The sequence below is a fragment of the Homo sapiens genome, chromosome 2 (genome assembly GCF_000001405.40).
Source record: "Homo sapiens chromosome 2, GRCh38.p14 Primary Assembly".
Classification (NCBI taxonomy): Eukaryota; Metazoa; Chordata; class Mammalia; order Primates; family Hominidae; genus Homo; species Homo sapiens.
In genome coordinates, this window is record NC_000002.12 from 32,636,322 (window position 1) to 32,659,194 (window position 22,873).

Sequence of the window (22,873 nt, forward strand, 5' to 3'; positions counted from 1 at the left end):
TCCCACCTCAGCCTCCCAAGCAGCTGGGACTACAGGTGCTCACCACCACGCCCGGCTAATTTTTGTATTTTTAGTAGAGACGGGGTTTCACCATGTTGGCCAGGGTGGTCTCAAACTCCTGACCTCAGGTGATCCACCCGCCTCGGCCTCCCAAAGTGTTAGGATTATGGTGTGAGCCACTGCGCCTGGCCTTAATTCACATTTCTTGTGCCAATTTGGTCCTTACAGATTTGAGGTAATCTATAGGTGAAAAGACTGAAGCTCAGAGTGGTAAAAGAATCTTGTCAGAGATCTGTAGCTGGGGCATTGGAATCCACATTTTCTGGTTCCAAATCCAGTACTCTTCTATACTAGTGTAGAAGCACCTGTAAATTCAGGTAGCAAATCAAAACAATATGGAAATGAGTTTCATGAGAAGTTCAGACCATAAGAAATATTGCCATTAACAAAGAGATTTGTGGAAGCTGGATTTTGTCAAAGAAGACCTTTTAGTTGGAAGTGGACCTTGAGCTAGAACCTGAAGGATGGTTAGAAAATGGATAGAGAAGAGGAAAATATCCATTCTAGGTGCAGTCATATGAGCAGGAATTTAGAGGAGAGGACAGCATAGTGTTTGTGGGAAAAGGATGCTTTGAACTTGCCTCTTTTAGCAGTGAAAAATCACTTGATGGAGGTCATTTGGAGTTGTAGGAAACTTTGACTAAGTCTTTGATTTTAACTTTTTTATTGGAACTACTGCCAACACTTAAAAGAGCATATGAAATGTATACAATTTAAATAATAAATCTCCTTTGTACTCACAACCTAGCTTGAGTGTCACAGGTAATGCTCTCCAGATAGTATACCATGTGCTGTCTCCCTGTATAATTTTTATTTGTTGCTATGTTAAATTACTTGTTTGTTCTTTATATTTAGGGATTCATGTAGAAGATAATGACCTGAAATTTGTGGTAGAACAGGCAGACATATTTCTTGTCTCAGAGTGATTAGGAGAAGGATTCTTTTTCTTTTTCTTTCTTTTTTTTTTTCAGACGGAGTCTCACTGTGTTGCCCAGGCTGGAGTGCAGTGGCGCAATCTCAGCTCACTGCAACCTCCGCCTCCCGGGTTCAAGTGATTCTCCTGCCTCAGCCTCCTGAGTAGCTGGGACTACAGGCGCCCGCCACCGTGCCTGGCTAATTTTTGTATTTTTTAATAGAGACGGGGTTTCACCTTATTGGCCAGGCTGCTCTCAAGCTCTTGACCTTATGATCTGCCTGCCTCAGCCTCCCAAAGTGCTGAGATTCCAGGTGTGAGCCACCGGGCCTGGCCAGGATTCTCTTTCTTAAAGACATTCCTTATTATCTTCTTGTGCTTTACCAGTTTGGCTTGGGCTTTAGGAAATCAGCTTGTTATATCTACTTGAATTTACAACATGATCCGATGAGGCTGCAGGTCTAGTTTGGGCACTTTAGGCAGGTTCTTCTGAGTTCTCAAGTCAGTATATTCACTGTACATTCAGTACCTCCAGTTGGGGTTCTCACAGAATACCTCATTTCCTCATCATGTCCAAGACTGAACTCATGATGAAGGTCTTCTCTTTTTGTGTCTGTATTTCAGTTACACACGCCACCATGGTGTAGTGCCAGTCAGAAGGCTAAAAGTCATCCTGGCCATGTCCTTGAGGCTCTCCAAATGCTTAGCATAGCCCTAGCCCTTCCTGAGGGGCAGGAAGAGGTAGAGAGATCTGTTTCCAGTTCCCAAACCAATGTTCTTTCTACCAGCGTGGGCTGGTTTGGGAATTGATTTGGGAATTGGAAACATGGGCTTCACTTAATTTTTATGGATCTGTTTCCTCACCTCTAAAATTGAGGCAGTTGTAAAAACTTGATAATATTTCATTAATTATTGAAGTTTTTTTTTTAAATAATTCCTTGTATGCTTAGCAGAGATAACAGTAGGCTTTGTGGTTGTGGAGGTAATTCATATTAAATCTTTATTCCTCTATTACACTCTTGAATGATGATGAAAATAGGACAGAGGATGAACTCACAGTTATTTCCTTCTTTCTCTTTTATTTATTGTTTTTTATTTTTTTCTAAGGCAGTCTCGCTCTGTCGCCCCGGCTGGAGTGCAGTAGCATGATCACGGCTCACTGTAACCTCCGCCTCCCAGGTTCAAGCGATTCTCCTGCTTCAGCCTCCTGAGTAGCTGGGATTACAGGCATGTGCCACTATGCCCGGCTAATTTTTGTATTTTTAGTAGAGATGGGGTTTCACCATGTTGGCCAGGCTGTTCTCGAACTCCTGACCTCAGGTGATCCACCCGCGTGGCCTTCCAGAGTGCTGGGATTACAGGCATGAGCCACTGTGCCCGGCCCTCCTTCTTTCTTCTATTGAATACTTTAAACAATATTCAAAATATTCAGTATTCAAATATTTAGTATTCAAAATACTCAGTATTGAGCCAGGGAGTGGCATTACTTGGATTGTTTAGTTTAATCCTTACAAGAACCCTCTGAGGTATAGGTTCAGTTATTTCATTTTTTTTTTGATACGGAGTCTTGCTCTGTCACCCAGGCTGGAGTGCAGTGGCACAATCTGGGCTCACTGCAAGCTCCACCTCCTGGGTTCACAACATTCTCCTGCCTCAGCCTCCCAAGTAGCTGGGACTACAGGCACCCACCACCACGCCCGGCTAATTTTTTGTAGTTTTAATAGAGACAGGGTTTCACCGTGTTAGCCAGGATGGTCTTGATCTCCTGACCTCGTGATCCGCCCGCCTTGGCCTCCCAAAGTGCTGGGATTACAGATGTGAGCCACCGTGCCCGGCCCAGTTATTTCATTTCATAATTGATGAAACTGAGGCTTCATCAGGAAAACAATTGTGGGAAAAATTTACATGTGCTCACAAACTAATGAGAAGCAGAGAAAGGACACTGTCCTGTGCATGTGACATTGGAACCCATGTTCCTGATGGGTGAAGATTCTTGCTCGCTATTGTATGGAGCTGTTAAAATTCTGCCATCCAAATTTTAACAACCTTGTCCATTGTAAAAAAATCTCTGTACAACAGGAGAGTGCATTTTTCAAAGGCATCCTTTTTTTTTTCAGCCTTCTGCTCACTCTGGTGTGTGGTCATATGCCCATTCTGCATTTGATGCATGAGACCTTGTTGATTGTTTGGCTTGATAGAAATTATGGAGTAGAGACTTACTTCATAATGACATTTTCCAGGTATTGAAGCTTAAGTGAAATGTAGGTGTTTAATATAAATATCAAATACACTATTTACTATAAATACTTTAATATAGGGATGCTTTTCATTGAGATAATATTTTGTTGTAAGTGAATTTATGAAGTGATGATATCTCTTCAATGCTAGCATTTTTTTTGAGTTCCTTGTTTCTCTAAAGTTTGAACATGCCAGGCGCAGAAGCTTTCACCTGTAATCCCAGCACTTTGGGAGACCAAGGCAGGGGATCACTTAAGGTCAGGAATTCGAGACCAACCTGGCCAACATGGTGAAACCCCATCTCTACTTAAAATACAAAAACTTAGCTGGATGTGGTGGTGCGTGCCTGGAGTCCCAGCTATTCGCCCAGGCAGGAGGATCACTTGAGCCCGGGAGATGGAAGTTGCAGTGAGCCAAGATCACGCCACTGCACTCCAGCCTGGGCAACAGAGTGAGACTCCCATCTCAAAACAAAAACAAAAACAAAAACAAAACACCAAAAACCCAAAAAATCAAGTTTGATCAGATGGGTGGCCATCCATCAGGGCAGGCTGGATTTATAGATGTCTAAGGGCATTTGCAGTGTTATAATTCTGTCCAGTGCCAATTGCTGTGTAATATATTAATGCTTTTGTTTCAAAGCTGAGTTGACTGGAAAATCTTTGTATTATTACAAGACATATAAAGATTAATATTTTGTTAAATTATATCATCTTAGTTTATAATCCTTTTTTCAGGTTAAAGGACTGGATGCATTTGTTCTGAGCCTGCTCACTCTAGATGGTGAATCAATCTACAGCCTGACCTCGAAGCCTATACTACTGTTATTAGCACGCATTATCCTAGTGAATGTAAGACATAAACTGACAGCTATTCAGGTAAGGAAAGGATCCATGAGATTCATACCCTGGTATGACTTTTGTGCTTATTAACACCAGGCTGTAGATGTGTTGCTGACAATGTCTTGGTCTATTTTGTTTTCTAAGTCTTCTAGGTATGTAATTTAAAAATCTGATGAAAATAAGCAAAAACTTTTCTTCCCTCATGAGATTGATCTAGTTTAGAATGAGATTATGTTGCACCTCCTTAATAGGATTTATGTGTGTACTGTGTAGATATAAATGTTCATTTGCAGAAATCTTAAATATCGATTTAAAAATATACCTTGGGCTGGGCATGGTGGCTCACGTCTGTAATCCCAGCACTTTGAGAGGCTGAGGTGGACGGGTCACCTGAGGTCAGGAGTTCGAGACCAGCCTGGCTAACATGGTGAAACCCCATCTCTACTAAAAATACAAAATTAGCTGGGCGCAGTGGCGTGCACCTGTAATCCCAGCTACTTGGGAGGCTGAGGCAGGAGAATTGCTTGAACCTGGGAGGTGGAGGTTGCAGTGAGCCGTGATTGCGCCATTGCACTCCAGCCTGGGCAAGAGAACAAGACTGTGTCTCAAAAACAAAACAAAACAACAACAACAACAACAAAAACAAAACAAAAAAAGATATACCTCACAGTCTTTTATGAATTTCATGTAGGATAATGAGCAGTGACCAAAATTTAATGGGTCTTAATTTCTGTTTTCTGGCTCACATTCTATGTTATGTCATTATTTGGGTTGGATTTAGTAAAGCATTTGTTAAATATCTATTATATGGTTTCTTCATATAAACTAGTGAGGACAAATATACACACAGAATGCTAATATGCAGAAAGAAAAGACAGTCTTTGGAGGTTTAGTGGAGGTTGTCAGCCACGCAGTGTGCAGTCTGTGTTGCGCTATTCAACTCTGCTGCATTGTAGTGTTAGAGCAGCTGTAGACAATGTTTCATTAAATGGACATGACTGTCTTCCAATAAAGCTTTATTTGTGGACACTGAAACTTACATTTTCTATACTTCTCACATTCACAAAATATTATTCTTGATTTTTCCCAGTGATATAAAAATGTAAAAACGATTTTCAGTTCTTGGACTATACGGAAACCAGTAGTGGGCTGGATTTGCGCACAGGCTGTGCCTGGCTGACCCCTGCTCCATCTGATTGTTGCAACCTGGTGTGCTGCAGACCCCATAGTGTCAGAAATAGTACATCTAAATTTTATGTGAAATCTCCCAGTTTTGGCTGAAAATTTTTAAGAAATGCAATAGTTCTTTCTTTTTTTTTTCGAGATGGAGTTTCACTCTTGTTGCCCAGGCTGGAGTGCAATGGCGCGATCTCGGCTCACCACAACCTCCACCTCCTGGGTTCAAGCAATTCTTCTGCCTCAGCCTCCCAAGTAGCTGGGATTACAGGCATGCGTCACCATGTCTGGCTAATTTTGTATTTTTATTTATTTATTTTTTTGAGACAGAGTCTCGCTCTGTAGCCCAGGCTGGAGTGCAGTGGCGTGATCTTGACTCACTGCAAGCTCCACCTCCTGGGTTCACACCATTCTCCTGCCTCAGCCTCCCAAGTAGCTGGGACTACAGGCGGCTGCCACGATGCATGGCTCATCTTTTGTATTTTTAGTAGAGATGGGATTTCTCCACATTGGTCAGGCTGGTCTCGAACTCCTGACCTTAGGTGATCTGCCTACCTCAGCCTCCCAAAGTGCTGGGATTACAGGTGTGAGCCACTGTGCCCGGCCCAAGCATCACAATATTTCTATAGGTCAATGTAGACTTGGTCTGTGCTGTGTAAGGGCTTACTTTCCTAAGCATTTAAGTTTATACACTAAATTTTTTTTTTTTTTTTTTTTTTGAGATGGAGTCTCACTTTGTCACACAGACTGGAGTATAGTAGTGTGATCTCGGCTCATTGCAACCTCCACCTCACAGGTTCAAGCGATTCTCATGCCTCAGCCTCCTGAGTAGCTGGGATTACAGGCGCCCACCACCACGTTTGGCTAATTTTTTGTATTTTTAGTAGAGACATGGTTTCGCCATGTTGGCCGTGTTGGTTTCAAACTCCTAGCCTCAGGTAACCTGCCTGCCTTGGCCTCCCAAAGTGCTGGGATCACAGGCATGAGCCACCGCACCTGGCCTAAATTTGTTTTAAAAGAAGAGGTTAGAAGGGAAGTGGTGCCTCTATTTGCAACTCTCATGAGAGCCAGAGGATTTGGAAGCCATTGTACTAGAGGTTGTTTTTTGTTTGTTTGTTTGTTTTGTTTTTTTTTTAAGACAGGCTCTGGCCCCGTTGCCCAGGCTGGAGTGCAGTGGCATGATCTCAGCTCACTGCAACCTCCACCTCCTGGGCTGAAGCCATCCTCCCACCTCAGCCTCCCAAGTAACTTGTACTACAGGCATGCGCCACCACACCCGGCTAATTTTTGCATTTTTTGTAGAGACAGGGTTTCACCTTGTTGCTCAGGCTGGTCTTGAACTTGTGGGCTCAAGTGATTCACCTGCCTCCATCTCCCCTAAGTGCCGAGATTATAGGCATAAGCCACCATTCCCAGCCTAGAAAGGTTTTTGTTTTTGAGACAGCGTCTTGCTCTGTCGCCCAGGCTGGAGTACAGTGGTGTGATCTTGGCTCACTGCAATCTACGCCTCCCAGGTTCAAGTGATTTTCCCACCTCAGCCTCCCAAGTAGCTGGGACTACAGGTGTGCACCACCATGCCTGGCTAATTGAAGGTTTTTTAATACACGGATTTCAACATGTCTTAGCATATATGAGGCTTCGTCTTTTGAGCTCTTAGTGACAGTAGCTTGAGTAAAAAATTTTTCCCCTAAGTAAGTTGATCTGAGTTAAATGGTCTTAAAGACTGACGATTACTTTGCTCTATTGTTTTATTTATTTACTTATTTATTTTTTGAGACAGAGTCTCACTCTGTTGCCCAGGCTGAAGTGCAGTGGTGTGATCTCGGCTCACTACAACCTCTGCCTCCTGGGTTCAAGTGATTCTCCTGCCTCAGCCTCCCTAGTAGCTTGGATTACAGGCACGTGCCACCATGCCTTGCTAATTTTTTTGTACTTTTAGTAGAAATGGGATTTTACTATGTTGGCCAACTGGTCTCAAACTCCTGACCTCAAGTGATCCACCCACCTTGGCCTTCCAAAGTGCTAGGATTACAGGCGTGAGCCACTGTGCCCAGCTACTTTACTCTAGGTAAAGTATCACCAAGCCATGAGGCTGCCTAATGGCATTATTTTCTTTCTAGTGAGAACTTATGGTCACTAATGAATGAGTGAGACGGTTTTTAAGTTGCTCAAAAGTTTTCTTCATCAAGAATATTAAGCATTGTCCAGGCGCAGTGGCTCTCGCCTGTAATACCAGCACTTTGGGAGGCCAAGGCTGGCGGATCACCTGAGGTCAGGAGTTCGACACCAGTCTGGCCAACATGGCGACACCCTGTCTCTAGTAAAAATACAAAAATTAGCCAGGCATCTCTGGGCATGGTGGTTCACGCCTGTAATCCTAGCACTTTTGGGAGGTCGAGGCAGGTGGATCACCTGAGGTCAGGAGTTTGAGACCAAACTGGCCAACACAGTGAAACCCCGTTTCTATTAAAAATACAAAAGTTAGCCGGGTGTAATGGCGGGTGCCTGTAATCTCAGCTACTTGGAAGGCTGAGGCAGGAGAATTGCTTGAACCCAGGAGGCAGAGTTTGCAGTGAATCGAGATCGTTCCACTGCACACCAGCCTGAGCAACACAGCGAGACTCTGTTTCAAAAAAAAAAAAAAAAAAAAAATTAGCCAGGCATGGTGGTGCATGCCTGTAATCCTAGCTACTCAAGAGGCTGAGGCAGGAATATTGCTTGAACATGGAAGGTGGAGGTTGCAGTGAGCCAAGATCGCGCACCGCACTCCAGCCGAGGCGACAGAGTGAGACTCTGTCTCCAAAAAAAAAAAAAGTATGTTAAGCATCATTTGAAAAATAATATATATACTGTCAACAACTTAGGAGAATTAATAAATATGTGGAATACTAGTTGTAGATGTCATTCTTGTAGGGTTGCAGAGGCAAGTTACCTTAATTTCTTGGCAGCTGTAAACAACTTTTGACTTCTGCTTAAAAACCTGTTTTCCTGTAGTATATTACTATGTATACCTCATTTTGTGCTGAAATTTTGCCTTTTTCTTTTTCTTTTTTTTGAGATGGGAGACAGGGTCTCACTGTGTTGCCCAGGCTGATCTTGAACTCCTGGCCTCAAGTGATCCTCCCACCTCAGCCTCCTGAGTAGCTGGAACTTCAGGAGCACACCATCCTGCCTGGCTTCTCTTGCCATTCAACTGAAGCATTATTCTTTCTATTATAGATTTTTCCTGTGGGTCTTTACTATATCATTCTTTTTTCCCTCCCTCCCTCCCTCCCTCCTTTCCTTCGTTCCTTCCTTTCTTCTTTTCTTCCTTCCTTTCTGCTTTTTTTTTTTTTTTTTTGGAGATGTTGTCTTGCTGTGTTGTCCAGGATGGCCTTCAACTTGTGGGCTCAAGTGATCCTCCTGCTCCAGCCTCCTGAGCAGCTAGGACTATAGGCACCTGGCTTATATCTTTCTCTTAATGGTGTTATTAAAAATGGCTGATTTGATGAATTAAGATAAAATAATAAAGAAACATTACATACTTATCCAAGTTAATTTTAACCTTTTAAATTAATTTTTGAGTAACCTGACTCCAAGAAATGTATCAAGTTATTTATGATGATATTATTTTTGTGAAATTATAGAAGAAGCAGATTTTCCCACAACCCCTAATCTGTGAAGTATATAGACTAGAATTGGTACTATGTAAGTGGTTGAGTAAAATGAGTCTTGGTTTTGAAATCAACAGCTATGTGACCTTATGCTAGTTAATTTCTCTGAATATCAGTTTCCATTTATAAAATGGGATAAACTGGCAAATATTTATTTGGTGTCTTGTGAGTATACTACTGCTCCCTGCTGTCTGGGAGGTTCTAAACTATTGTGACTTCTCAGTCAGACCATTCTGTAATAAGTGTTATAATCAGGAGATAAAATCTAGAAATTATCTAAAGCAAGACCTCAAGTTCACTTTTTTATTAATGCCTCAATTTTTTCTTTCTTTGTTTCTTTTTTTAAAATTGTATTATTATTATGCTTTAAGTTTTAGGGTACATGTGCACAATGTGCAGGTTTGTTATATATGTATACATGTGCCATGTTGGTGTGCTGTACCCATTAACTCGTCATTTAGCATTAGATATATCTCCTAATGCTATCCCTCCCGCCTCCCCCCAATTTTTTCTTTCTTTTTTTATTTTTTTGAGACAGAGTTTTACTCTGTCGCCCAGGCTGGAGTGCAGTGGCGTGATCTCAGCTCAGTGCAACCTCCGCCTCCCGGGTTCAAGTGATTCTCCTGCCTCAGCCTCCCAAGTAGCTGGGACTACAGGTATGCACCACCAGGCCCGGCTAATTTTTTTTGTATTTTTCGGAGAGATGGATTTTCACCATGTTGGTCAGGCTGGTCTCGAACTCCTGACCTCAATGATCTGCTTGCCTCAGCCTCCCAAAGTGCTGGGATTACAGGTGTGAGCCACAGTGCCCGGCCTCAATTTTCAATTTTAATTTTTTTTTTTGAGATGGAGTCTCGCTCTGTCGCCCAGGCTGGAGTGCAGTGGTGCAATCTTGGCTCCCTGCAACCTCTGCCTCCTGGGTTCACGCGATTCTCCTGCCTCAGCCTCCCGAGGAGCTGGGACTACAGGCGCCCACCACCATGTGCAGCTAATTTTTTGCATTTTTAGTAGAGACGGGGTTTCACCATGTTAGCCCAGATGGTCTCGATCTCCTGACCTCGTGATCCACCTGCCTTGGCCTCCCACAGTGCTGGGATTACAGGTGTGAGCCACCATGCCTGGCTCAATTTTTTAAGTTTTATTTTTGTAGAGATGGGATCTCACTGCATTGCCCAGGCTTGTCTGAAACTCGTGGCTTCAAGTGATCTTCCTACCTTGGCTTCCCAAAGTGCTGGGATTAACAGGCATAAGCTACTGTGCCAGCCCTCTATTTTTATATTAAGCAATTCTTGACAAACTGAAAAGGTCTGTTACACTGACTAGTAGAAAAATAGGCTATGCTTTCTATATTTGGTTTTTTTTTTTTTTTTTTTGGAGACCGACTCTCACTCTGTCTGTCTCCCAGGCTGGAGTGCAGTGGCGCGATCTCTGCTCACTGCAAGCTCCACCTTCCGGGTTCATGCCATTCTCCTGCCTCAGCCCCCCAAGTAGCTGGGACTACAGGCTCCCACCAGTACGCCCAGCTAATTTTTTGTATTATTAGTAGAGATGGGATTTCATTGTGTTGGCCAGGAAGGTCTTGATCTCCTGACCTTGTGATCCGCCTGCCTCAGCCTCCCAAAGTGCTGAGATTACAGGCATGAGCCACCGCGCCCGGCCTCTATATTTGTTTTATTCTTCCCTCCCCCATATAAAGATTTTTGGTTTGAGAGTTAATTTATAGATCTGATTTTTGAGAGTTCAGCATATTATATGTTTTTTTTTGTTTGTTTTTTGTTTTTTTTTTTTTAGAGTCAGAGTCTCTTCTCTGTTGCCCAACCTGGAGTACAGTGGTGTGATCACAGCTGACTATAACCTTAAACTCCTGAGTAGCTAGGTTTACAGATACGCACCACCACACTCAGCTACCTAAAAAACAATTTTTGTAGAAATGGGGTCTCTCTGTGTTGCCCAGGCTGGTCTTGAATTTATGGCCTCAAGTGAGCTTCCTGCTACCCAAAGTGCTGGGATTGCAAGTGTGAGCCACCGTGCCTGGCCTTGTATTATGTGTTTTCTTAAAAGTGAAATCTTTTTGACTGGATGTATCTAAATTCCCATGTCTAGAAAAGTAAAAGAATAAGCTGCCAGACCTGACTCACTTATTGCTGACAGCAGATAAGGGACAGATAATTGAGATGTAAACTGACTTCATGCTATAGTGATAGGAAAAGAATGAAAATGACGCAACACCTCAGGGAATTCAGTTAAAAACTGTCTGAAATTTCTTTGCTATTAGATAATTTTATATTTCCTTACATGGACTGAGGAAACAGTATTAATTTGAAAGGATTTTGTCATGGAGTCAAAATTCATTTGTGGTTGCATCACGGTTGTAGTAGTTGTGGTGTATAACACTTTAGAAGCGAACCAGGCTATGGTGTGTAGCAGTTTAGAAGGGAACGTCTTAGTCAAATGAAGAAATTAAGTTCAAGCAAAAAAGTTCTTTGGAGCCAGGTGCTGTGGCATATACCTGTCGTCCCAGGTACTTAGAAATCTGAGGCAGGAGGATGGCTTGAGTCCAGGAGTTCAAAGCTGCAGTGTGCTATGATGACTCCTGTAAATAGCCACTGCACTCCAACCTGGACAGTGTACTGAGACCCCATCTCAAAAAAAAGCTTTTTGGTAATTGTCATCTCATATTTGCAGGTAACTAAAAGGAAAACTAATTGTTAGACTTTCATGTAATATAATGTAAAGTAATATAGTTACAAATAATTTATAATGAGCTTATCAAAATTACTTATCATAACTTGTACACATGTACATATACACACATGCACATACATAGAGGAAGCTCTGGAGGAATGTAAACCTTTGTCACTGATTTTTTCCGCTGGAGGAGGATGATATTGGGGCTGTGGAAGAGAGATTTTCACTCTTCACCGTATATACTTTTTTTTTTGAGACGGAGTTTCACTCTTGTTGCCCAAGCTGGAGTGCAGTGGTGCAATCTTGGCTCACTGCAACCTCCGCCTCCTGGGTTCAAGTGATTCTCCTGCTTCAACCTCCCGAGTAGCTGGGATTACAGGCGCATGCCACCACACCTGGCTAATTTTTCGTATTTTTAGTAGGAACCGGGTTTCATCATGTTAGCCAGGCTGCTCTTGAACTCCTGACCTCAGGTGATCAGCCCCACCTCGGCCTCCCATAGTGCTAGGACTACAGGTGTGAACCACTGCACCTGGCACCCCCCCTTTTTTTTTTTTTTTTTTTTTAAAACAGACTTAGTCTTACAGTGTTGCCCACCTGGTCTCAAACTCCTAGCCTCGAGTGATCTTCTCATTTCAGCCTCCTGAGTAGCTGGGATTATAGGTGTGAGGTACCATACCTGGCCATACTTTTATATTGGCTTGTTGTTCCTTGTTTTTATTTTTTTTAAGTAAATATATGTTGATCAAGTAAGAAAAAGCATCAGCGAATAAAAGAAAAAGCTACTATATGCTCAGCTTGTGCATTAGTCAAGACAATGTCTAAAATCCAGTTTCCTACTGGGTGCAGTGCCTCACATCTGTAATCCCAGCACTTTGGGAGGCCAAGGTGGGTGGATCACTTGAGCCCAGGAGTTGGAGACCAACCTGGGCAACATGGCAAAACCCCATCTCTACCAAAAAATACAAAAATTAGCTGGGCATGGTGACATGGCCAGTAGTCCTAGCAACTCAGGAAGCTGAAGTGGGAGGATCACGTGAGCCTGAGGAGGTCCAGGCTGCAGTGAGCTGTGATCATGCCACTGCACTCCAGCCTGGGCGACAGAGTCAGACCTTGCCTCAAAAAAATAAAATAAAAAATAAAAAAAAGCAGTTTCTGCCCTCAGAAATGTATGGCTCAAATAGAGTTATAAACTTGAAAAACAGGTGCTGTCCAATATGATGCCAACTTCTAGGAACAGTGTAGAAGTTCAAAGAAGTGAAAGATCAGTATGTGCCACACTAGCAGGAGAAGACTGTAAGGAAGAGGTTTCATACAGGTGTGGAAGCAATCTTCTCAGATTGGGGGAACATCTGAATCCAAGGTATTTCTTACTGTGTAGATTATGTAAAATACATTGCTTTGAGGAGGATATAGAGATGAATAAGACATGATTTCTTACCTTGTTGGGTAGTAGACGGTGAACAACATTGGAACCTGAGATGACATACATAAAATACAGTGGAATGTGTTTGCAAGGGAATTACAGATAATGTGCTGGAAGTTCAGGTGATGGAAAAATCACCCCCACAGGGGGTTCTTGTGGGGCCTCTGAAGGAGTTGGTACTCGGATTAAAGTGGTGATAGAGTGCCACAGAGCAGGATGAATACAACATTTTTTTTTTTTTTTTTGAGACAGGGTCTCGCTGTGTTGCCCAGGCTAGAGTGCAATGGTGCATCCTCGGCTCACTGCAACCTCTGCCTCCCAGGTTTAAGCAATTCTCCTGCCTCAAGTCTCCCGAGTAGCTGGGACTACAGGCGCCTGCCACCACGCCCAGCTAATTTTTATATTTTTAATAGAGGCAGGGTTTCACCATGTTGGCCAGGCTGGTCTTGAACTCCTGACCTTGTGATCTGCCCGCCTCGGCCTCCCAAAGTGTTGGGATTACAGGTGTGAGCCATCGCACCCGGCCACAACATATATTTTAAAGGAGGAGTTGGTAAGTTCAAAATGGCATAAGGAAGTCCAAGTGGCTAAAAAAAAAATACAGGTTTGAGAGGATGGAGGTGAGGTGTTATTCTTATGGAAGACACAGATGTGGGTTTTGGTATTATTACTGAAGAGAGTAGTGGATGGGTAATCTTATTGAGGAATAAATTTAATTTTATGAATGTAAAAAAATTCTAAAAATCTCAGTTAATGTAAAAAGAGTTTTCTAAAGTATCCTTTTATTTCAGCTTACGTGGTGTTTTTTCCTAGAGCTTGCCATGGTGGACTTTGAGATGTGTGAATATTCATCAGCATTTGCTTGAGGAACGCTCACCTCTGCTTTTTACTCTTGCCGAAAACTGTATTGATCAAGGTATGTAGCAGATTTTTGTTTGATATGGGCATGTAGCTCAGTTCTAATTACTTGGCTGAGATACTCCTTTTTAGTTTATTTTTTGTCCGGTAGTAGTGCCTTTTCGTTTTGAGTTGTTTCTTTTTTTTTTTTTTTTTTTTTGGTGTAGAATATCACAAGTTGTTATGTTGTCAGATTATAGAGTTCCTTTTAGTCTTTTTAGTTTAAAAAAGATAACTACTTTCACTTACTTAACCTACTTAGGGTGATTTGCTCTATGTAGGTCACCATGATTTTATCTCAAATTGTTTAAAGATATTTTAATATTTTCTCTGTTCTTTAAGAAGCCTCATTGGAAACAGATGTACTCTCCTTAGTTCTTTTTTTAAAAAAAGTCCTTAACTAACTTGAGCTGGAGTAAATTATGTTAAATTACACAAAGAATAAGAAATTATCCTATATCCTATTGAGTACATCAAGAAAAGCGTAAGAAAACAGTTGATAGAAAATAAGTTTCACTGAAGTTAACAATGGGTAGGGAGGCTATTTTGCATTTCATTTTATTAGTATTTTTTGTAACATATAATATACATGCAGAAAAATACCTAAAACCTAAATGAAAAATTTGCCAAATAATTATAAGCCAAACATCCATGTAAGTGCCTCCTGCTGCCTTTGTTGCAGATATTCCTCCTGTATCCTAGGGAAAGACTTTGGAAAAGAGGAGAATCTTAGGTGCCTTAATACTTGGTTTCCAGTCTTCCTGGTTTTGGGGATTTTTTTTTTGGCAAAAGTTGCCACACAAAACAAAAACAAAAACAGATTCTCTTGTGGTGAAGGAATATGTGAACGTAAATGAACTTGGACTTGACCATGAGTTTTTGAGTTACAGAGACGGGATTTGATTTTAGCTGTGTCTGGTTCCAAAGCCCAGACTCCTTTCAGATCCAACAGTATGGAATGAATATGTATGTGTGTGTCCAAGGGACATGAGGAGTGGTAGTTAGCATCATTCTATGTGGAGAAAAGTGATCTGTACTTGATGGAGGTAGCACATTCATGAAGGTATAACATAACTCTCATGTGTGTGCATGTATAATATAAGGGGCTCTTGTACCTTTTGGGGGTCTGTTTCCTTCAAGAGTTATTTTTGAGACAGAGTTTCACTCTGTCATCCAGGCTGGAGTGCAATGGCGCAATCTCGGCTCACTGCAACCTCCGCCTCCCGGGTTCAAACAATTCTCCTGCCTCAGCCTCCTGAGTAGCTGGGATTACAGGCATGTGCCACCACGCCTGGCTAATTTTGTATTTTTAGTAGACATGGGGTTTCTCCATGTTGGTCAGGCTTGTCTTGAACTCCCGACCTCAGGTATCAGCCCGCCTTGGCCTCCCAGAGTGTTGGGATTACAGGCTCGAGCCACTGCGCCCGGCGTCCTTCAAGAGTTTTTACAGTAACAAGCTAGGCCAGAATACAGTGGAGAGGACTATAGCTTGTTTAGTCATAAATATTCCTAAGCCAGGTGAGTGGTTGAAACTAATTTCTCAGTTTTTATTTTATTCTAGGACAGAAATACATAAACATATGCTAATCTTAGATAAAATGACCATCTATACATAATTCAAATAGAGATAATAATGAAAGTATTATTCAATCAGTATAATAATTGATTCATTTATGTTGTTTGTTCCAGGACTTAGTTTATATTCTTTCAACATTTTTAGGTAACATAAGCCTGGGGGTCTAGCAGGGGGCCTGTTAGATGTGAGCATAAACATTGTAAGTCATCCCTTGGTATCCAAGGGGGATTGGTTCTGGAACCTGACCCTCTCATACCAATATCCTTGTATGCTTATGTATCTTTTTAAAAGGTAGGAGCCGGGCCAGGCGCGTTGGCTCATGCCTGTAATCCCAGCACTTTGGGAGGTCGAGGCAGGTAGATCACGAGGTCAGGAGTTCGAGACCAGTCTGGCCAACATGGTGAAACCCTGTCTGTACTAAAATACAAAAATTAGCTGGGCATGGTGGTGGGCACCTGTAATCTCAGCTACTCAGGAGGCTGAGGCAGGAGAATGGTGTGAACCCAGGAGGCGGAGGTTGCAGTGAGCTGAGATCGCGTCATTGCACTCTGGCCTGGGCGACAGGGCAAGACTCCATCTCAAAAAAATATATAAATAAATAAATAAAAATAAAATAAAATAAAAGGTAGGAACCATATGGTATATTTTGGAGAGGATTCTATTTTATGAGTTAAAATTAAGTTCCAAACCAGAAACTAAGATAGCTGGAAAATGTGACTCTAAGTGACTCATTCCCAAAGAGGTCTCAGTTCTTTTCTATATTATATTTCAGCATGTCATTTGCTTTACCTTGCAACTAAGAATTTTTTATGTTGCTGTTCTAGGCTAATCAACGGCACTTTTCAGTTTATCTAGTCATAAAATGGTCCATTTTGGCTAGGTCTAAATAGATTCGTAGATAGTGCTGAATTATAACTTTTCATGCATGATTTCATTTTTAAAATGTTTTGTTCTGGGATTTGATCCAAATGTAATAACTGAAATACGATTCAGCGTCCAGAGAAGGGTATTATATTTGAAATGTTGCCCTTGAAGGATCATCAGAAAGTTGGCAGGATTTTTTTTTTCGTTCTATGAAACATAGGCAAAGGATTTTATGAACAACTATGATATTTAGGTTTTTGTCCAGGCGTGTTACACCAGTATAATACAGTGGAATGGAGTCTATCAAAATGTCAACATAACTTTGCTGGGCTGATTACATCTATAATAGGAGTAGGTCAGAATCTATTCCTCAGTACAATCTAAAGCATTCTTTTGGATGTCACACTAAATGAAAGCATGCTTCTCTAAAGACTATTCAGGGCATACAACAATTGATCATGGCATCCAGTGCTGAAAACATGTTATGTATAGTGCATGAGATGTAATATTGCACTTTAGCTGTTTGAAGAAGACCTCATGAAGTCGCTAAGAGAAACTGGGTTAAAATACTTTGTCATCAAGTCCTGCTGTGACATTTCAGGCAGCTCTGTGACTCTGGGATTAGGTTGTTTCCACGTTGAAAGAGTGTTCAAAAAAACAGTCTCCACGGTGGCTCATGCCTGTAATCCCAGCACTTTGGGAGGCTGACGCAGTGGATCACCTGAGGTCAAGAGTTCAAGACCAGCCTGGCCAACATGGTGAAACCCTGTCTCTACTAAAAACATAAAAATTAGCCGGACATTGTGGTGTGTGCCTGTAATCCCAGCTACTCAGGAGGTTGAGGTAGGAGAATCTCTTGAACCTGGGAGGTAGAGGTTACAGTGAGCCGAGATTACACCACTGCACTACAGCCTGGATGACAGAGTGAGACTCCATCTCAAAAAAAAAAAAACAAAAAAAAAACAGTCTTTTGGTGACTGATGCATACGTGCGTACGTTGATTTCTTTTCATAAATTTGATACTTTGGAATAAATGTTATTGAATGTACTAAATGTCATTGTCTGTAATTATAATTGTCCATTAAGGATTTCATTTTAGCATAGCATTTAAATAATCTCGTGAGAAGAGATTTTGGTTTTAGCATACATTTTAAGTGTGGGTGACATTTTGATCCAGAAGGTCACAAATATTCATTTCCAGGGAGAACCTCCTGATTTATTAAAATAATAATATATGCCTAATGTAAACCTTGAGTTATCTATCTTCAAAGCTCAAAACTTTGCTTCCATTGTTGACTCATTGCTTTCCACCATTCTGCGTTTCTAGCCAGTTCTTAAATCTTACCAGTTCTTCCCCAAGGGTCCCATATTGATCTGTCTTTTCCATATCTACAGCTTTTATCCTAATCTGAAATCTTTAGTTTGGAAAGGCCCTTTAGAGATAATCTTGTCTAGTTAAATCATTTTACGAAGAATTGAGACTTACAGAAGTTGCCCAAGAACCAGCACAATGATGTGGCGTTTCTGACTCCAAGTCCTGCTGACACTTTCCCTTGCTTTTTGCAAGCTGGTCAGTAAGGCAGAATTCTAGTAACTAATGATAATGCAGCTAACATTTCTATAGTGTATACACCACATCAAGCAGTCTTTGAAGTCTTTAATTATATTAACTAGCTTATTCCTAACAACTATGAGGTAGAGCCAAAGATGGTATAGTAGTGGATATAGTGTGCCTTTTAAAAAACAGCTTTTTTTTCAAGTTTAATTAACCTATAATAAGATCTCATATTTAAGGTGTACAATTTGTGACATTTTGTATATGCATACACCTGTGAAATCATCACAATTAAGATGATTAACAGGGTATAGCATTTCATGTTGTTATTATTTTTTTGAGGCAGGGTCTTGCTCTGTCATCCGTGCTGGAGTGCAGTGATGCGATCTAGACTCACTGCAACTTTGAAATCCTGGGCTCAAGTGATCCTCCTACCTTAGCCTTCTGAATGGGTGGGAGTATAGGCGCTTGCCACCATACATGGCTAATTTTTTTTTTTTTTTTGAGATGGAGTCTCGCTCTGTTGCCCAGGCTGGAGTGTAATGGCGTGATCTTGGCTCACTGCAACCTCTGTCTCCCGGGTTCATGAGATTCTCCTTCCTCAGCCTCCCAAGTAGCTGAGATCACAGGTGCCCACCACCATGCCTGGCTAATTTTTATATTTTTAGTAGAGATGGGGTTTCACCATGTTGGCTAGGCTGGTGTCCAACTCCTGACCTCAAATGATCCATCCTCCTCAGCCCCCCAAAGTGCTTGGATTACAGGCATGAGCCACTGCGTCTGGCCTTTTTTTTTTTGAGACAGAGTTTCACTCTGTCACCCAGGCTGGAGTGCAATGGCGTGACCTCGGCTCAACTCAACCTCTGCCTCCTGCGTTCAAGTGATTCTCCTACCTCAGCCTCTCAAGCAGCTGGGACTATGGGTGCCCGCCACCATGTCTGGCCAATTTTTTTTTGTATTTTTAGCAGAGATGAGGTTTCACCATGTTGGCCAAGCTGGTCTTGAAGTCTGATCTCATGATCTGCTTGCCTTGGCCTCCCAAAGTGCTGGTATTACAGGAGTGAGCCACTGTGCCTGGCCCGCCTGGCTATTTTTTAAATTTTTCTGTAGAGAAATTTAAAATTCAGAAGTCTCATTATATTGCTTAGGCTGGTCTTGAACTCCTGGCATCAAGGGATCTTCTCACCTCGGCCTCCCAAAGTGCGGAATTAAAGGCATAAGCCACCATGCCCAGCCTGACATAGCATTTTAAAATCTAGCTTTTAGTTCCTGATTCCCTGTATGAACTCAAGCAGTTCACTTGACTTCCAAACCAAGGTTCACTTCCTTATAAAATATTCTTTGAATTCTTTCCAGGTATAAAATAATGTGACGTTTTGTAGTCCAGCTTCTCACTCATACCAATGGTGGACTCTTGGAAGTTTGCATCTAAAAAATTATCCCCTTTTTTGTTGGACAGTTTCAGAGATTACTTTGAGAAGGAGCTCATTTCATTGTTAGGATTAATAATTGCTACAAAGTCCTTTTTTTTTTTTTTGAGAGACAGAGTCTCGATCTGTCACCCAGTACTTTTAAAATTAATTACAAAATCTTATATTCTGTCACTTTCATGCAGTATTTCTGCTAACTAGAGCTGTACTATTCAATATGGTAGCCACTAGCCATGTATGGCTACTTAAATTCAAATAAAGTAAAATAGATGAAATTGCAAATTCAGTTCCTCAGTTTCACTAGCCACATTTCAGGTGCTCAGAAGCCACATGTAGCTAACGGCTACCATCTGGACAAGCAGCTGTAGACTGCTCAACAACATCAGGGAAAGTTGCATTGAACAACACTGCTATTGAGTACTGGCTTGAGTTTTCTAAATGCCAATTTCATAATGTCTTTTTTTTTTAATGAGGAAATTTTTAATTAGTCCCAGTTTTATCTTTGGCCTTCTATCTCCTGCTGAGTTTGATATTTAATTTAATAAACTCTTGAGTGCTTGCTGTGTTCCAGACACTGCGCTATGTGCTGTGGATATCAGTGAACTTAGTGAGATAAGGACTAAAATACAGGTAGGACAAACAGGTAATGCAGAGTAAGGAATGAGGGAGAGAATGTGATTGTTCTGAACCGGGAGGTCAGAGAAACCTTCACGAAGTGGCTGATACTTGCACTGAATCTTAAAGAATGGTGGGAATTTTTTAGGTAGAGAACTTGGAAAGGACATGTACTATGTGCAAGAGAGGCACAGAGACTTGGAACATCTTTGTGAATTTGGGAATTCCAGTAGTTTGGAATGCCTGGAGCAGAGTGTGAAGGGTGTGTGTCTCAGCTGATGAGGTTTACAGGTGGGAAGGAGCTAGATCACGAGGATGCTGGATTTTCATCTCCTTGGTGATCACCACGAAAGGGTTTTTAGAATATTTGCTCACTCCGAGGATATTATTTGAGCTGTGATAGGTGCTGGGCCTATACCAGTGGATGAGACACACATGGACCCCTCCTTGGTAAACCTTACAAACTTGATGTGTGAGGTTGTAGCCAAATTCTACCCATCTTTTAAGGCCCCACCCTTCTGATAAGGTTTGTTCAATTATCCAGTCTTTATGGGTTTCCCCCTCTGCTACTTTTGGTCAATGGCACACAATTTATAATCAAACTAACTGCATATTGAATCATTCAATAATGATTGTGTGTCTTCTCTTCTTAGCTACCTAGCTCTTCCTACCCTACCCCATTTTTAGGGAAGAATAGGACTTAAACCTTGCAGTAAGATCTAGCACAATTCTTTTTTTTTTTTTTTTTTGAGACGGAATCTTGCTCTGTTGCCCAGGCTGGAGTACAGTGGCACGATTTCGGCTCACTGCCAGCCCTGCCTCCCAGGTTCATGCCATTCTCCTGCTTCAACCTCCTGAGAAGCTGGGACTACAGGTGCCCACCACCGTGCCCGGCTAATTTTTTGTATTTTCAGTAGAGACGGGGTTTCACTGTGTTAGCCAGGATGGTCTCGATCTCCTGACCTCGTGGTCTGCCCACCTCAGTGAAGTTCACGTTAGGATGCCTATGTGCCTTCTGAGGTGAGACATGTACATCTTGACTTACTCTCTTTGAGTCCAGAGAATCTCTTAAATGGACCGTAGAAAAACACTGTCTTTCTTTTTTTTTTTTTTTTTTGAGACGGAGTCTCTCTCTGTCGCCCAAGCTGGAGTGCAGTGGCATGATCTTGGCTCACTGCAAGCTCCGCCTCCTGGGTTCACGCCATTCTCCTGCCTCAGCCTCCCGAGCAGCTAGGACTACAGGCGCCTGCCACCATGCCTGGCTAATTTTTGTATTTTTAGTAGAGACGGAGTTTCACCGAAACACTTTCTTTTTCAGACCCATTTAAATTTCAGTTCACGTAAAGACAAAGGGGTATCTGTTTCTTAGCTGTAGGTGTTTCTGCCAGATTATAGGTGATACAGTAGATTGGGCTTTTGTAGCATCAGCTCTGCACCTTTATCCTTCCCCTAAAAACTTTTTCATACCCCTTTCCCCTACAAGCTTGGATTCACATCCTGGCATTGCCACTTAATGAGGTGACCAGTCAGTAAGCTGAGCTCAATTTTCTTTTCTTTTTAAAATGTAAATTAAAAAAAAAATTTTTTTTTGAGATGGAGTTTCACTCTTTTTTTGCTCAGGCTGGAGTGCAATGGCACTATCTCAGCTCACTGCAGCCTCCACCTTCGGGGTTCAAGTGATTCTCCAGCCTCAGCCTCCCAAGAAGCTGGCATTACAGGCGCGTGCCAGCACGCCCAGCTAATTTTGTATTTTTGGTAGAGACAGGGTTTCACCATGTTGGCCAGACTGGTCTCGATCTCCTGACCTCAGGTGATCCACCACCTTGGCCTCCCAAAGTGCTGGGATTATAGACATGAGCCACTGCACCCGGCCCTATTTAAAATTTTTTTTTAGAGACTGCTCTGTTGCTTAGGCTGGAGTGCAGTGGTGTAATAATATCTCACTGCAACCTCAACCTCCTGTGCTCAAGAGATCCTCCCACTTCGTCCTCTCCAGTATCTGGGACTACAGGAGCGTATTACCATGCTTGGCTAATTTATTGTGGAGATGTGGTCTTGCTATGTTGCCCAGACTGGTCTTGAATTCCTGGCTTCAAGTGATCATCTCACCTCAGCCTCCCCAAGTGCTGGAATTATAGGTATGAGGCTCTGTGCCCAGCCTGAGCTCAATTTTATAATGAATTAAGTGGAGATAATGTCAGCCTCCAATACATCATTGTGAGAATTAAATAACGCAACATGTAAAATACCCATTCCTAGGCAGAGTTAGATATTCAGTAAAAATAACTTCTCTTTTAGCTTGAATGATGGGAAAACTGTCATCAGCCTTTGTGTTCCATTCATTCATTATGTATTCATTCTGGTAGGCTGTTTTGTGAAATGCTGGCTAACACATATTGGAAACATTTGTGAGAGATAGTTTGTCAGTGATATTATAGAAGGGAATTCTGTTTGGGGGATCAATTGGATAAGGGTGCCTGTTAGACACCCTTGTTACTTGTTACTTGTATGTCAACTAGCCTGTCTTTATATGTAGTTAATTTTGACAGTCATTTTATTTCAGATGCTGTTTTACTAGGTTATTATCCTCCATTCTTTTCATCTTAGATATTTAGTGAAATAAATTAGAATCTGACTGCCAAGCCAATATTCACTTATTCCTTATTTGATGTTCATATTGTATTAGATATATGGATGTATATCTGTTTCCCCTTTTCTTTTATTTTTAGAGACAGGGTCTCAGTCTGTCACCTAGACTGGAATGCAGTGGCATGATCATAACTCACTGCAGCCTTGAACTTTTGGGTTCAAATGATCCTCCCGTCTCAGCCTCCTGAGTACCTGGAATTACAGGCATGCTCCACCATGCCTGACTAATATTTTTATTTTTTTGTTGAGATGAGTCCACTCTATGTTGCTCAGGCTTGTCTTGAACTCCTG

At 41.8% G+C, this 22,873-nt stretch overlaps 1 protein-coding gene across 5 annotated transcripts in view; it reads left to right on the forward strand.

Annotated features, from left to right (window-relative positions):
• Window positions 1-22,873, forward strand: part of TTC27 (tetratricopeptide repeat domain 27) — a 193,002-nt gene that overhangs the window by 8,272 nt on the left and 161,857 nt on the right. For all 5 annotated transcript variants that reach the window (NM_017735.5, XM_011532958.3, XM_005264416.3 and 2 more), the window contains exons 4-5: window positions 3,949-4,089; window positions 13,810-13,912. In NM_017735.5, coding sequence (NP_060205.3) covers window positions 3,949-4,089; window positions 13,810-13,912 — 244 coding nt within the window. The remainder of the gene's footprint in view (window positions 1-3,948; window positions 4,090-13,809; window positions 13,913-22,873) is intronic.